Genomic DNA, 16751 nt, shown 5'->3' with positions numbered 1-16751 from the left:
TTGATTTTTCAAGTTACATTTATTACTAATATAATTTCAATTTTCCGTATGCATATTTCAAATACAGTCTTTTGTGATAAACAGAAGTGGAAATGTTAATCTATTTAACAAGAGAACACAATTTTTTAAAATAGAAAAGTGTGGACCATGTAGATATTAGTACTTTGAATAGAAATCTAATGTGAAAATTTACTTTCTCTTAAAAAAACAAATATTTCTGGAATTTCTCTCTAGTTGTAATAACTGTGCCTGTTTGATATAACTTTTTTTTTTTGCATATACATACTTGAGCCCTAATAGGTTGGCCCTTTCCAATGTGTATAATTGTGCCAAAATATAAAAGAGACATATTCAGAGATAAATGAACAAGAATCCACGCATTTAAGAAACTCAAAATACAAGACAAATTTTAAATCATCTTAATGGATATTTCAAACACATGCATTGGTATAACATTTAAACCTAAGAAGGAGGAAAAGTGCCAAATTAGTGTCTCTATGACTGGCATGCTCTCTTTTTAGGGAAGGCTTTTTAATCCACAGTAAAACTCAAACTCTTTCTACCTATGTGATTGATACTAACAAACAAATGCTTTATAACAAATGTGGTATGTATTTTCAAAGCAACGGCTCTTCTCTACACTTGCTATTATTTTAGAACTTTAGTGAGAACAATAGTCATCTACATCTTCTCACCCATAGGAATCAAACTTCACTCTGGCAGGTGTCTTGTCTCAACCATTAGCTTCAATGTGAGCAATCTAACTTTATTCATTTTCAAGTATGCTGGAGAATACCCACAGTACACTTTAGGATGATTTAACAATGGCACTTTGATTTTCAGGTTCATATCTGCAAAGTATGACTTTTCAAACCACTGATTTCTGCTACAAATATAGAATGTTTTTTTCCTTGTGAGAAATGTGCAGCTTTCCCACCATGTACTGTCTTTTTCTTAATGTCTCGAATAAATTCAGATAGCTTAATACAGATGATAATATTGATCTAGTGCATGCAATGAGAGAGAAGTCTGTTTTATGCTAACATGTAAGTTTAAAGTCTCCTCTCTATTTTGAGTCTGCTGAAAATTTTAGTGAATAATATCTATGTCAACTGATGGAAATAACTCCTTGCACTTATAAAAGAAAGCAATGAAGTAGAACGTGGCCCTGGCAAGCCAAGTATTTTCTGCTAAGTCTCTCCTATCTTAAAACATTCAAATCTAAAATGATTAAACCACTATAATAAATTTTGAACAAAGTAAGGCTTTTATGTGGGGGATTTCTGAGAATTTGCTAACTAATCTATACATCAGGCGTTATTTTTTAGGATTCTATAAAAACTCTTGGGATCATTACATCTTACACCTTGATAATTTAAGATAATTTAACAATATAACCTTGGAAAGTATTTATCGTTTCTTTTCTCCATCACTGAACAATTTTATATCTGGTTCTATCATCACTAATAGAACTTACTGTGATTTCTTTACTTTTTTTTTTTAACTTTCAAGATAAGGCCTTGGTCACTTGCACCCTGGCATTATTTTTAATTTTTATTCTGTGAAAGATACCATGATTATAAGAGACCATCATAACGATACATTCAAGAGCAAAAAAGTAACACAAAGCAAAATTATCACCTTTAAAAAACCAAGGAAATTTTGAATACTTAAGATGGTTTTTTACTTAAAAATATTCTGGATATTTGCTTAAGATGTCAAATACTTTGAATTTTTTTATATTTAACAGTTCGTGGGTATGGCAATAAGGAGCAGGTGTTTGATCTGATTATTTGATGGGCATGCTAACAAGGCATGTGTCATGGGATTGATGAAGCAGCTGCTTAACTTCCTCAGAACATTCTAATGACAACTTTCTAAAGAAGCACCACTTGTTACATAGGCTTCTGTGGCATGTTTTCTATAACTGAATAAATTATCATGACCTACGATTGCATAATAACAGACATATTTATGTACCACTTCCTTAAATCCATCAATCGTTTTAAATCTTCACATCTACCCTCACTCCATGTAACACGTAACACAAAGCCTGCCGCCTAACAATTCCTTTTAGGACCTTTAATGATACATGTAGTGACACTAATTACCTAATCCACTCCTAAACATAATCTGATATTTATATTATGAGCAAAAAAAATAAACAATGCATCAGCGGGCATTCTACAAATGAGAGAATCTCAGAATATCAGAGTTGTTAAGGATCTAAAAGATTAGATAATCCAATCTTCTCATTTGACAGATGGGGACCCCTGAACCCAGAATCTATTCCTGTCACAGGCATATATCTAAATCTTTCTATTCTCTACACATCACATCATTCCTCAAAAGTCCTTCCAAAATGTGTAATAATCTTATTCTCATGTGTTTATTTCTTTCTGAGAACTCCCACATTTTAATTCTTTTTTAAAAATCTAAGATTTATTAGATTTTTTTAAAAAAATGTTGCAGAAAGGCCAGGTGTGGTGGCTCACGCCTGTAATCCCAGCACTTTGGGAGGCTGAGGCGGGCAGATCACGAGGTCAGGAGTTCAAGACCAGTCTGACCAACATGGTGAAACTTTGTGTCTACTAAAAATACAAAAATTATCCAGGTGTGGTGGTTCATGCCTGTAATCCCAGCTACTCAGGAGGCTGAGGCAGGAGAATTGCTTGAACCCAGGAGGCGCAGGTTGCAGTGAGCCAAGATCGCACCATTGCACTCCAGACTGGGTGGGACAGAGCAAGACTCCATCTCAAAAAAAAAAAAAAAAAAAAAAAAAAGTTGCAGAGAAATACTTAACACCAAGGAAAATATTTTTATAAAGTAATTGCTCACTGGCATGCCCCTATGAGAAATTTCTGCAATGTTATATTCCTCATGTTATAGGTAGTGATAATTAGCACACCATATTCCATTAATTTCTTCCTGGACTAAGGTACAATGAAGAAATACTTAGTTTTACTTTAATTGAGTAGAGTTTGTTGCATAGACTACCTATTAATGGAATCAAAATTATGAATTACATATAAATGCCAGCACATCAATGCAAATAGTGAAATTTTCTTCCAAGTAATGCTCTATGGATCAGCCAACAAGGAAGTATTCACACTCACCTGTGTGTGTGTGTGTGTGTATATTCACATACATACACACACACACACACACACAGAAACACAAACTTAGATAAATGACTTATGAGAACAAGCCAAGACCAAAAGTGAATCTAAATCTATTAGAAAAGTTTAAAACCCTACAAAGGAGCGTTTTTTTTAAAAAACTACAGTTGGCACATGATCCGTTCTTCTAACTTTCATGTTTGGCGTCTCCATCCCCTTGGGTGTGGGTTGTAGTTGTAATCAGCTACTGGAAGACAGTAATCAGACCTGGTTTCCATGGACATGATTGCAGAATCATTTCTTGAAGCCTGCCTATAATATGCATATGGCAACTGTGAACCATATTGGGAGGTGGTGGACATATTATTATTGGCTGTGACATTATACTCTTGCCTTCCACATGAGCCCATATAGGCCTTCTGGGTTTGAGGAATATAGGACAGTCTTTCATTCCAATCCTCTGGAGGCCCTGGAAGCACCTTCCTCCGAGCTGCTGAAACCACATTTGCCACAATGGATTCCTGGATGTTTCTGGGTTGGAAAGCATCATCCACTAGACCGAGAGGAGACTTTGCTGCTGCTTCCCAAGGAGTTGGTCTCTTGTTTGCTTTCTCTAGTCCATCGGTTGGTTTACTAGAGTAACTATAAGTAGGCTGGTATACCCAAGGAGATGTAGAAATGGGGGGTGGGACTGATCTTCCAGGAAGAGAAAGGGAGCGCCCACTCTCCTAAAAACAATGAAAATATTAATATATCTCATTCATTTTGGTTTGTGCTGATTGTTACTCCAAAGTATTCCTAGCACCATTACCAAGCACTGCAAAAATAAAAAATAAAAATAAAAATAAATTAACCCCCCAGAATGCTTAGTCTTAAAGCCAGGACATGCTGCCTGTCCCCACCTTTGCAAAAGTGGGCCAAGTGCAAATGGTGGGCTGCCACTTGATCTTACCTTTTGCACTTGGCCCTCCTAGTTGCTCCCCATCTGTGAACGCATAGCCCCAGTTGCTATCATCTTTCTTAGGCATAGTCACTAGGGGCAGGGCGGGGGCTCTGTCATCACTAGGAACCACCTTTCCTTCTCTCTGCCCTCCACATAAGCATATGTGAATTCACATCCCAACCTTATTCCTATCCTGCTTTGCTGGTACAAAATAAACAAAACCTATTGATAACCTCAGAAACAAGCTGTACATTACTGAGCTTTTTACTCTTCCCAAGTGACTTTTAATCTGTTATCTAATGTTGGTCTAGTGAATGAATATAGCAAAAACAAACCAGAGCTTCTTAGATGTAGTTAACATTACTGGTATGATTAACTGCCTGGCCCTTTTCCGCTCAAAATCTATTTATATGGTGACGATCACATGGATTTTTATTTCCTGAGTGGAGTGTATTGCCTTTGTCTCTGAGGGAATTACTCCTGCCTCTTGTTTAATTTGCATTTTGCTTCCTTTCATGTGTATTACATTCCTATTTCTTTGAGAGTTTGTATCCCTGCAACATTCCTCTGTGTATACTTAATATTCAGCTTGACTAATAACACAGGAATATTATTAATTATTATTATATAGAGTTGGGGTCTCATTCTGTTGCCCAGGCTGGAGTGCAGAGCATGATCATGGCTCACTGCAGCCTCAAACTCCTGGGCTCAAGCAATCCTCCTGCCTCAGCCTCCCAAGTAATTGGGACTACAGGTGCACACCACTATGCCTGGCTAAATTTTTAAAAATCTTTTTTACAGACAGGATCTCCCTGTTGCCCAGGCTGGTGGTATTAGACTCCTGGCCTCAAGCCATCCTCCCACCTCAGCCTCCCAAGTTGCTGGGCTTACAGACATGAGCCCCGGTGCCTGGCTACAGCAATATAATTTAATGAAACCTCTTGTGTTCTCATTCTCTCCTTTTACTCCTCTGCATTTCTAGGAATGCTGATGGCTGGCTATCCACATTACATCTTCACACATTCCAATATGCATGAGGCTGTGTGAGATAAGCTCTTGGCAAAAACGCAGAAAGGGTACACCTAGGGGACAGGAGTATCAACTTTGAAAGTATCAAAACATCCTGTTTCCTAACAAAAAACATTACCATGCTTAAAAATGTGCTCTAATTTCATAAACAGTTTCAACAGCTTTTCTCTTAATCAAGTTCTTAACTTTAAAGTGAATATCAATACCTGGATTTAGGCAAAATATCTCAGATTCAAATGTTTCGTTTTTTTTTTATTATTAGGTACACAAAGAAGGTAGATGGTTCATTCCTGGTTTCTATCTGAAGAATAAGGGGTCCAATATAATAAATCTTGATTCTCTCATTTTAATCATTTAAATTTTACTTACAATGGTTGAATCTTAGCAAAAACTTGCTTTCACTAATCTTGTCTTAATTCAGAACCACTCATAATTCTCCTTACTCTATATTTGGGTGAGGTGTGGGGAATCCTGACTTTTAGTCACCTTTAAGGCCTTAGTTTCTATTTCACATTATGTATGTGTTCATTTCATAGACTCATTTAACATAAATTAACATATTGTACACCTAATATTTCCAGGTATTCTTCTATAAGCTGAAGACTTAAAGATGATAAAGTCCTTGCCCTCAATAAGCACACAATCCAGTACTAGTTTTAGCCCCACAGTAGCTGAATTAAGTCAATTACAGAAGACCAGTTTGGGCCAGTGCAGTGGCTCACGCCTGTAATCCCAACTCTTGGGGAGGCTGAGGCAGATGGATCACTTGAGATCAGGAGTTCAAGACCAGCCTGGCCAACATGGTGAAACCCCATCTCTACTAAAAATACAAAAGAATTCTCCAAGGTGTGATGGCATAGGCCTGTAATCCCTGCTACTCAGGAGGCTGAGGCACAAGAATCACTTGAACCCAGGAGGCAGAAGTTGTAGTGAGCTGAGATCACACCACTGCACTCCAGCCTGGGTGACAGAGCAAGACTCTGTCTCAAAAAAAAAAAATAAATAAATAAATAATAAGAAACAAGATCAGTTTAGAGAAGATAGAGAAGAGACTCTTTAACTGTCTTGACAGGAAAAAATAGGAAGTTTTCTAAACTGTGAGAAGTGGTAAGACTCAGTGTGATAAAGAGAAATGTAGCTGTCTGTTGTGGTGTGTGTCTGTATATCACTTTTGTCCTTTCTGTGGAAGAATTAGAACAACAGTGGTCTACAGAGGCCCTGGGAGAGTTTTCAGAGTCCCATGATTTTGCTTTGTGTGGTCTTTGATTATGATAGAGGCAGGAGGCAGACAAATTCTAGGCAGACAGAGGTGGATCCCTGGTGAAACCCCACCTTCAAGCCAAAATAGTCTGAAACTTACAGCCCAAAGTGAGAACTTCTATTCCTGTTTGCCCATTCTCTCCTGATTGGTTCTTTGTGAATAGTGTCTTTTTACCAGTGGAATGTTGCTTTTTCCAAAACTACCTGCGGCCCACCCCACCCACACCGTGTGCCTATTATAAAGACCCCAGACTCAGTCGGTAGAGGGAGAGATGGCCGGACCTTAGAGGAGACGGCCAGACTTCAGAGAGACAGCTGGACTTCGAGGGAGATGGACAGACTACAGAAGAGATGACCTGACTTCAGGGGAAGACAACCTGCCCATCCTCTTCGCTGTCTAGCTCCTCTCTCCACTGAGAGCCATTTTCGTAGCTTAGTAAAATTCTCTGCCCTTCAGTTGTCTGTGTGACCTCATTCTTCCTGGACGCCGGACAAGAGCTTGGGACCCACCGAGTGCAGGTACCCAAAAAGGCCATCACACCGGCCCTTTGCCCTCACGGATGAAGGGCAGCCACCCCACACAATGAGGCAAGAGGCCAACTGAGCTGCTAACAAACCACCGTCTGTGGACGGCAGAACTAAGAGAGCACTGTAACGCTCCCTCTGGGGCTTTGGGGTCGCAAGCACCCCCACCTGGGCACCGCTGTGGGCCACACATGAAGTCTGCTCCTGCTGGCGCCCGGAGTGGCCAGCCAGATCCCACACTCACTCACTCATGTGCTCCCTCCCTCAAGGGGTTGAGCACAGTGAGCTGAGTAAACAGGGCACCCCTGTTGCAAGTCTGGCAAAGAGGCTAAAAAAAATCCTGCATCAATTAGATGTAGCACCTTGAGGGACTGCTTTAGTCAGTTATTTAGGTATTTTAAAAGATAGAAGGCTGAGGGGATGGCAATAGATAAAGGGAGCTAAGACTTTACAGAAATCTCGGTGAGGCCCCTGAACATATATACAGGTGTTTAATTTACTGGCTAATAACTGGAAAAAGAAATAATTATCAATATACTTGGGAGTATTAAGTACTATGTGAAAGCATACATTGCAGTGATAAGACATCCAAAACATTACATGAAAGAGAGGAATTATTTTTTGGTGTTTCTCTTATGCACTGAGTTTGAAAATATTCAGAAGAATTGAAACTTGACAGAATTTATAAAGTTCAAAATATTGTTCAGTGATATCCTATTAACAAAGAGATGAATATGCAGGGAGAAAACTAAAATATTGAGGTATGGTATTGAAAGAGTAAGCCAGGGCTTTCTGAAGGGAAATTAAAACCTAGGATTGAAGCTGAAAGCAAAAATCTCACGCCAAACATGCATATGACAAATGTAACAGCAGTGAGGAAAGAAGAGCAACCAGCTCAATGAGCAAAATGACCATGGCTCTTCTACATTTCCCCAGACTGACGAACATGCCTTCACATTCTTTCAAGTGCTAGTAATAGAGGATAAGATGATAAACCATTTTAGGTTAGAGATCCAACTGGGATATAAATAAATCATTCCATAGGTACAATGTAGTTTCTGTTTGTGTCCAAAATATTGCAAGCCTCTAGCCTCTACTGGCACCCATACTTCTAATTTTAATGTATTTCCCCAAAGCAATTTTCACAGTGTTTTTTGGTGCTGTTTCCTTCTGTCCATCACAGTTTCAAGGCTCAGGCTGTTCTCTGTTTGGCTGGCTGAATGAAGCCATGTGATATACCCTGAGCCAGAAACGACCAAAGGAACCTGAAAGTAACAGAGGTGTTTCTTTTGTTTTGGAGTTTGAATGTCTGACGCTGGAATCCTAGCATAGCATGGATTAGGTCCTGGGTTGTCACTTCCACCATGGGTTATATCATCATCAAGGGAATTTAATATTTTTATATGAGAGCACTTAACTGTAACCAAGATGTTAAATTAGCTTTACCCATCAAATTGCTTCTTTCTGTCTCCCACTACCTTTTAAACTTTATTTAATAAAAAAAAGTTTTCTGCTGCCACTGGAAGAAAACTTAGCAGATCCTGGGACATTTTGCTTACTTTTAGGAAGAGTTCAATGGTTACCTTAAGTTACTCAAACCAGTTTTATTTTGAAATAGATGATGCCATCCCCTGAAATAACAAACTCCAATTTCAACTTTATTAGAGTTAAATCTCCTCTCCTTCCCCAGCTGGGGCCTGCTTCAGAAAGGCTGCCTTCCTTCAGGGAAGGAGTGTGGTTGACTTCTTCACTCTACTTCCACTTCTTCTCTCAGGTCGCTAACTCTGCCTTCTGGCCCCCTGGGGTTGGAGGAAAAAAAGGAGTAGAATAAAAGAGGAGAAGAAAGTTTTTACTTGATTTGGCAACATCATGTTCTGGCCTCTTACTCTTGGGGCCAGACAGGCCCAGAGAGGGACATTTTTATGGGATATTGAAAGATTCCCATCACTGGGGACATCTTACCTCTAGTCCTTGATTCATGCTAATTCTTCTCTGTTCTAGGGAGTGACTTTGGACTCATCCTATATGCTCCCTTAGGAAGCTGTCTACCTACAGTGTGTAGCTACTAGGATCCATCTGCCCCCTCAGAGAGGCCCCAGGTTGACCCCAGCCAGCTCTCCCTTGCTCCTAGCCTGGACTGGCCTGGTCCATGGGGAACACTCACATCATTTGCCTGTGGGGATGCAGAAGAAAATGTCCTGGTTCTGTGCCAGAACAGTTTGTCAGCCTGTCCCTTTCCCTCCAAATTTCCTGAGTGGCACTCAGACCCCACTCTGACCTCCTACCCATCCTCATGCAAGTATCTCCCATGAAGTTCTCTAAGAAGACACTTTGAAACTCTTCTTGCACACAGCTTGAGGTAAAAAGGTGAAACCCCCTCCACGCCACCCACTCCAAACACACACATCTTCAGCACTCTGGAATTCCTTCTCACAGAATCCTCTCTCCTTGCCATAATCAACCCCTTTTAATCACTTGGACCTGGCTGAAGGTTTCAAGAATTGTGGAAGTCATTTGCTACTATATTCTTTGTAGAGTCTGCATTTGAATCTGGAATCTCACTTCAGTGGGCAGCATCTGTTGTATCTGGGGGCCTTGGGTAAAACTTCAACATCCTGTCATCTCATTTTCAGTACAGTACAAAGCTCCCTCTCTCCTATTTTTCTTTTTAAAGTAAAATATAAGCTAAAATTGGAAATATTTTTCTACAAATCAATTCCAAGAAATTTCTCTAATAACTTCGAATAAAGTTGAAAGCTTATACCTCACTGAGTCTTCTCTCTAGAGAAGAGGGGTTACTTGTTTCCAGAGCATCTTGGTCAATCCTTAGGCTCTAGATTTTGGGAACTTCTTTCTTACATTGAATCAAACATTGCTTCCCGGCCGGGCGCGGTGGCTCACGCCTGTAATCCCAGCACTTTGGGAGGCCGAGGCGGGCGGATCACGAGGTCAGGAGATCGAGACCATCCCGGCTAAAAAACGGTGAAACCCCGTCTCTACTAAAAATACAAAAAATTAGCCGGGCGTAGTGGCGGGCGCTTGTAGTCCCAGCTACTCGGGAGGCTGAGGCAGGAGAATGGCGTGAACCCGGGAGGCGGAGCTTGCAGTGAGCCGAGATCCCGCCACTGCACTCCAGCCTGGGCGACAGAGCGAGACTCCGTCTCAAAAAAAAAAAAAAAAAAAAATTGCTTCCCATGGCTTTACCCCAGTGATTCTGCTAACATGGATTACATCTACTTGTACTTCTATGCAGCCATTCCTTCATACATTCCCAGTTTCTTCCACCCTCCTTGAATATCTTTACTATCCTGTTGCTATCTGTTATTTTTCAAACTAAGGAGAAATAATATCTATGTCATTCACTCCCTCAAGTTCTCCACATCCTTCTCCCTCCAGTTTGTTGGGCAAGGCTAATGCAGGTATAATATCTTGATCTTCTTAAGTAGATGTGTGTACATAAACACAAGGCCACGTGCTGAGTGAAGACATCATTCAAAATGACTGCGGGACCATGTCATCTGGCAGATGGTATAGTTAATACTGCATATGGAACATTCAGTCTGTGTGCATTTAGAGTATTCTGTTCTTTGATTATTCAACCCACGAGAGCACACGCCAATCTTTAGCTGGCCCAATATAATGCATGCAAGACTCCCACTGAACTCATGAGTCATCTGGTGTTATATAGTCCCACAAAAGGGCTTAACACTAAGGAGGCATTTTTCTACCTCTGCCTTTAAAAATAGCCAACATTAATAGATTGCTTATTGTATGCCAGGCAGTGGGGGCTGATTTCTTTATGTGGAGTGTTTCACGTAATCGTCACAACCCCGTGAAGTAGAGGCACTATTATTATCCCTATTTTTCCAGAGGATAGTGAGATTTGAAGAAAGTAAGTAATTTCCCCAAGGGTAGAAAGCTAGTAAGTGTTGGGGTGGAAAATTGAACCCAGGCAGGCAGTCTCATACCAGAGTTCCTAAATCTAATTGGACTATACTTGCAATGATATTGTTTTGAGAGAATATCTTTTTTTTTTTTTGAGACAGAATCTCGCTCTTGTCACCCAGGTTGGAGTACAGTGGGGCGATCCTGGCTCACTGCAACCTCTGCCTCCCGGGTTGAAGTGATTCTCCTGCCTCAGCCTCCTGAGTAGCTGGCATTACAGGTGCCTACCACTATGGTTGGCTAATTTTTGTACTTTTAGTAGAGATGGAGTTTTGCCATGTTGGCCAGGCTGGCCTTGAACTCCTGACCTCAGGTGATCTGCCTGCCTCAACCTCCTAAAGTGCTGGGATTACATGTGTGAGCCACTGCACCCAGCCTGAGAACATCTTTTTTTTAAAAAAAAGATTCAAAACCATGCAAACTAAATGGAGTAAGATCTTAGAAATTTTGGAAAAGGTCATTTAAATTTGGATTAAATTTGGATTAAAGAATACTGGCATCTTGGCATTTGTCACAAGAACAGGCAGGTGACCGGGCCGTAGGGAATACAGTGCATCGCATTTAGATGCACTTCTGCTGCATGAAGATGAGATATCCGGGGCTCTGCATGCAGGAGAAAAGCTCAGAGGAGCTGAGGGCCTTTCTCAGCTTAACATAAACCATCTTCTCATGTCAATTAAATGTTGGTTTATCCACACAGCTTGTTAATAAAACAGCTTAGTTAGCTTCCTTGTTAAACTGTCTAGCTGTCTAGTAACCAATTTAACTGGCAGGGAACACTTGACATGCAAAAAGAAAGTGTAATCTGAGGTTTACTTAGCACAAAGAAGTGAATTTTAAAGCAATGTAAACTGTCCTAGAAGCCAAAGAAGATAAATCTGATGTATGTGTCGTGAGTCAAAGTTTAAACTATTTTATACCATAAACCTTGAAAGTGATACAATTCTCTTGGCTGAAACCCTGCTTACACATGCACTGTAGGGAAAGGGGCGTCAACTGATAAATATGATTTCAATTCCTTTGACTCTTTTCTCTCTTAAACACATGATCAGTAAATGATCATCACAAACATATACTTTATCATACACAGATTCTGGGAGGTCCAAGAAAAGTGAAGAGGAATAAAAAGTATTTCTTTTGCCTTTTTAATCATGGATTAGAATTTCTGAAAAGCAGAGGTCCTAGAAGGGATACACAAATAGAAGAAACCACAGATATTCTCCATTTTTCCATTTGCTCAAGTTGAAATTTTGGGAATCAGTGTTGACTGCTCTCCATCTCACACTCCACACCTGATCTGTCAGCACTGACTTCAAAATACATCCACTATCTGACCAAGTCTTCTCAACCTCCACTGGTAGCATCCTGGACTAAGCTATCACAAATTCTCACCTGGATTATTGCTACTGTCTCCTAATTGATTTCCCTAGTTTCATTCTTGCTTCCTTTAGTTTATTCTTAATATGCTAGCCAAAACTACCCAGTTAAAACTCAAGTCAGATTATGTTATTCAGTCTACTGTTTAAAAACTTCCCATGGCTTTTCATTTCAAAAAAGGAAAAACCAAAGTCCTTTCATTGACCTACAAGACCCCACAAAATCTGCCAACTAGCTCCTTGCATTATCTGACTTCATCTTCTTCATGTTCTCTTCCTCTCCCTTTCCTCCAGCCACACTGGCCTTGAACCTTGAACACACCAGGTACACTCATGCCTCAGGATTTTTGTACTTTCCAATCCTCTGGATTTTTGTACTTGCTCACCCCAGGTACCAGCATGACTCCTACCTTGTTTTCTTCAGGACTTACTCAAATATTACATGATCACTCAGCTTGGCAATTCCCTCCCTCTCTCAAAATTCCTTACCTTTCTCCCCTGCTTTAATCCTTCCCTTAGACTTACACTCATCTAACATAATAAATATTCTACTTAATCATTTGTTTATTTTTCTCTCTCCACTAGAAATTAAGGTCCATCTAAGGGTAAAGGTTTTTGTTTCCTTAAGGCTTCCCTAGAACAGTACTTGGCACCAGAATAGTAGGTGCTTAGTAAATATTTGTTGAATGAATGATAATTTCTACATCAGGCTGTCATAAACTGAAAATGTGGTTATCTTCACCAGAATTTTACGTCAGTTCACAAGATGTAGCCCCTCTCACACATCAGTTACATGTGACAAGGGACACAAACAGAACTATCCCCACCACCTTCAATATATGCAAACCAATATGCACCCCAAGTCATGTTCAACAAGACAGACAGGACTAGTCAATATTTATGAACAAACCAATTTTTCTAAACAGGTGGAAGATTTTTAAGGTTCAAATAAATGATTTGCATTCAGGTCAGTGGAAGTTTAAGAGTTTCAAACGGCTTTGATTTCACAATTGAGAAAAGTCTTAGAAAATTATGCATAAACCCTAAAGAGAACCTGAAATACATTTGCAAGATTAAATAAATCAGACCTAAGAAGAAAACGATAAAAGAGATTGGAATTAGTTAGGGTTGAAGAAGAGCAAGCTGAAAGTTGATTTACCGTTTATCATGAGACTGCAAGTACGTGTTAGGAAATGGCAGCCTCTACTAACTAATCTCCTAGAGTCCCTCCCAGCTCTAATGAGCCCTCAGTGAAAATTTTCTTGACAGTAGAAACAGTTCAACACTGGAAAAAATTTCTGCATAGAGATATAGAATCCCTTTACCTAAAGGTCTTTAAATATAAAACAAACGCTCCCTTGAGGTGGTTTAGATACAATCAAGCTTGAAGTTAGAGGATAAAAACACTTTGAAGGTCATTTTGTTCTAGTCTCAATAAAATAGTCTTTTCCTCATTCCCTAACACTTGCCTTCTTAAAGAGGATTTTAAGTTTACCTCCACTAACTGGAGTTTTTGGAAATTCTGTTTTAGGACTCTCTTATCTAGAAAATGGAAGAGAGTTTCTATTTCTTTCAGCAGAAGTACACAGTATCATTCTGTCTGCCAAGAAGGGCACATAATCAGGACTAATAAACCATATTTTTGAATAGAAAAGTGGCCAAGTAATCACATGTTGTTTAAATAGTTTCATGGGCTGGGCACAGTGGCTTACGCCTGTAATCCCAGCACTTTGGGAAGTCGAGTGGGTGGATCATCTGAGGTAAGGAGTTCATGATCAGCCTGGCCAACATGGTGAAACCCTGTCTCTGCTAAAAATACAAAATTAGTCGGGCATGGTGGCTCATGCCTGTAATCTCAGCTGCTTGGGAAGCTAAAGCAAGAGAATCGCTGGAACCCGGGAGGCAGAGGTTGCAGTGAGCTGAGATTGTGCCATTGCACTCTAGCCTGGGCAACAAGAGTGAAACTTCATCTAAAAAAAAAATAAATAAACAAAATAAATAGTTTCATGAATGCAATGGACATACTCTGACATCAAAATAAGAGATAGGGTCTTGTATGTAGCATATCATCTTGGTTCTGTTACTCACCAGTCATCTTAGATTAACTTTTAGATTAAATTTTCTCTTCCAAAACAACAGACTTTTAAACAAAAAGTTTTACTTTCTGCTTCTAGGAAATCTGTTTGTGAGAAAGCGTAAGGCTTGTAAATGACAATGGAGGCCAGCATCTTATATTGGAAGGAATGGAAACTTGGATGTCACATTGACCTGAAAGTTCTGCCTTTGTCTTTTGTTATCCACGCAATTCAACTTCTCCCAGTCTTATTTTCCTTAATTGTAAGATGGGAGTATTGCTGGCTACAGTTTCAAGATTATGGGCAGAGTAAAGATTGTGTTTATAAATGGAATGCCATGTAGCTCAACAAATGGTGATTATTTTTGTTATTGTGGGAAGAGACTGTGTGGCCCTAAAGGTGTCAGAGACCTGGCAGGACCTTTTGTTCAAGAGGCAACTGCATAGGCAGGCTGCTGACCCAGGACAAAAATAGGAGGGAGACTTGCCTTTGAAGTGGCATTAGCAGTGCACGCCTCCGAGGCTGCTGTGCCAACCCCGGCTGCCCTCCTGTCATCAGAATGCAGGCAGCTGGGTTGGCCAGAAACATTGCCACTGACCTCATCTTCCTGCTAGGTCTAAGTGGGCCAAAATATACACTTCTTGATTTTTTTTAAACCTTCTGTTATAAAAGAATAAAAGTAATGATACACAGTTTAAGGTCGAGAAGACCAACATGAAGGAGGAATGTGTGCATATACTTTTGTTGTCTCTTTCATCTTTGAAGCAATGATAATAATAACTAAAATGTACAAAACTTTTACTATGTACTAGCTACAGTTCTAAACACTGTATTTGTTACCTCAATTAATCCTCTCAACAACCTTATGGCCTCCATTTTGCAAATAAGGAAAGTGAGGCATGTAAATTAGGTAATTTACCCTAATATTACCCTAAATTGGTAATTTTCCCTATACAAGCACATACTGGCTTGTATAGGGAAGTTGGAGAAGTAAAGCTATAGGTAATAAAATTTTATTTAAATAATGTATGTTAAGGCATTAACTCTGTTAACAGAAAAAACTACTATACCAGCAATTTTTACCCTCTTACCTTTCTTTATTCTCAAAAAAGAAGTATGTCACTCTACAAGTTAGAGCCTGTGACAATACTTGTATTAATATAGACTGTGTTCTATTTAAGTAGTTGGGATTGCTGTTTTAATTTTTTATAATTCTTGAGGAACAGCCTTATTTAAGTTTATTTTCATAAAAGTCTAGTTTAATTGGTTCAAACATAAAAAATAAATGTTAAACACATTTCAAAATATTTTCTGAAGTTCTCTCTTTCCTCAAAAGATTTAAATAGTAAACGTCATTCATTTAGATTCCCACGGTAGAAAAAGTGAATAGTATATATAAAAAGTTCAGACTTCGTCAGTTTCTATGGAGAAACAAGTAATTTTCATAATAAACAAAGAATGTTGATCTTGTTTAAAATAAACAATCTTTTGACCTTGTGGGAGTTTTTTGGGTTTTTGTTTTTTTGAGACAGGGTCTTGCTCTATCACCCCGGCTAGAGAGCAGTGGTGTTATCATAGCTCATTGCAGCCTTAACCTCCCGGGCTCAAGACATCCTCTCACCTCAGGCTCTCAAGTTGCTTCCAGTGAGCCACTGCATCCAGCATGTGGGAAGTTTTTGTAGAGAAAAATGTTGGTACCTGGCACATGGTAAGCACTTAATTTATTATGAGAGTAATGATTATCAGTACAGAAAACTAACATGTTTTGTATTGTATTCAGTTATAATTATGTGACTGCTATTTGAAGTGGAGCTAATAGCCCTTAAGCAAAATTATTTCCCAATTAAAATGCCTTTTGCTTTTTTAGAGAAAAATCTTATCAGTTATGATGTTAACAACAAGGATTCTTAAGAAATGTGTGCATACCATGTAACAAACTTGATTTGGCCTCTGCACAATAACATTCCCAAAACTTCCCACTGATGTGTTTAGAAGCATCCTCTGTCACGACTTCTAATTACATTAAAAATCTCTGACAATTCAAAGCGAGTTAATGGCAATGACGAAGACACAGCAACTATACAGTGTGTGACAACATAATTTCACAAAGATGTGGAGAATACAGGATGAGGAAAATGACTGAGTTGGCCTTTGTAACTGCTTTTCTGTCCACTATGTTTCTAAGCTTATTAAATGGAACCTTTGATTAATATCCTGGGCCCTGGGGAAATTGTTTAACCTACTGTTCTTTGAGAAATGTAAGATTTACTCCCTATCATATTTATGTTTTCCTGGTCAAAAACATGACCCCAGAGTGAGGTTTAAAATTAGGAATCTTAATCACTTGAACTTGGGAGGTGGAGGTTGCAGTGAGCTGAGATCACGCCACTGCACTCCAGCCTGGGCGACAGAGTGAGACTCCATCTCAAAAATAAAATAAATAAAAATAAAATTAGGAATCATAAATCCAGCTCTTCAT

General features: G+C 39.3%; 1 protein-coding gene across 4 annotated transcripts in view; it reads right to left on the bottom strand.

The window, feature by feature from the left end:
* Nucleotides 1-16751, bottom strand: part of SYNPO2 (synaptopodin 2) — a 210567-nt gene continuing 193816 nt past the window's right edge. For all 4 annotated transcript variants that reach the window (NM_001286754.2, NM_133477.3, NM_001286755.2 and 1 more), the window contains one exon: nt 1-3847. In NM_001286754.2, coding sequence (NP_001273683.1) covers nt 3314-3847 — 534 coding nt within the window. In that variant the 3' untranslated portion in view covers nt 1-3313. The remainder of the gene's footprint in view (nt 3848-16751) is intronic.

The sequence above is a fragment of the Homo sapiens genome, chromosome 4 (genome assembly GCF_000001405.40).
Source record: "Homo sapiens chromosome 4, GRCh38.p14 Primary Assembly".
Classification (NCBI taxonomy): Eukaryota; Metazoa; Chordata; class Mammalia; order Primates; family Hominidae; genus Homo; species Homo sapiens.
The sequence above is the reverse complement of the archived record's forward strand: the minus strand, read 5'-3'. Positions and strand labels throughout refer to the sequence as shown.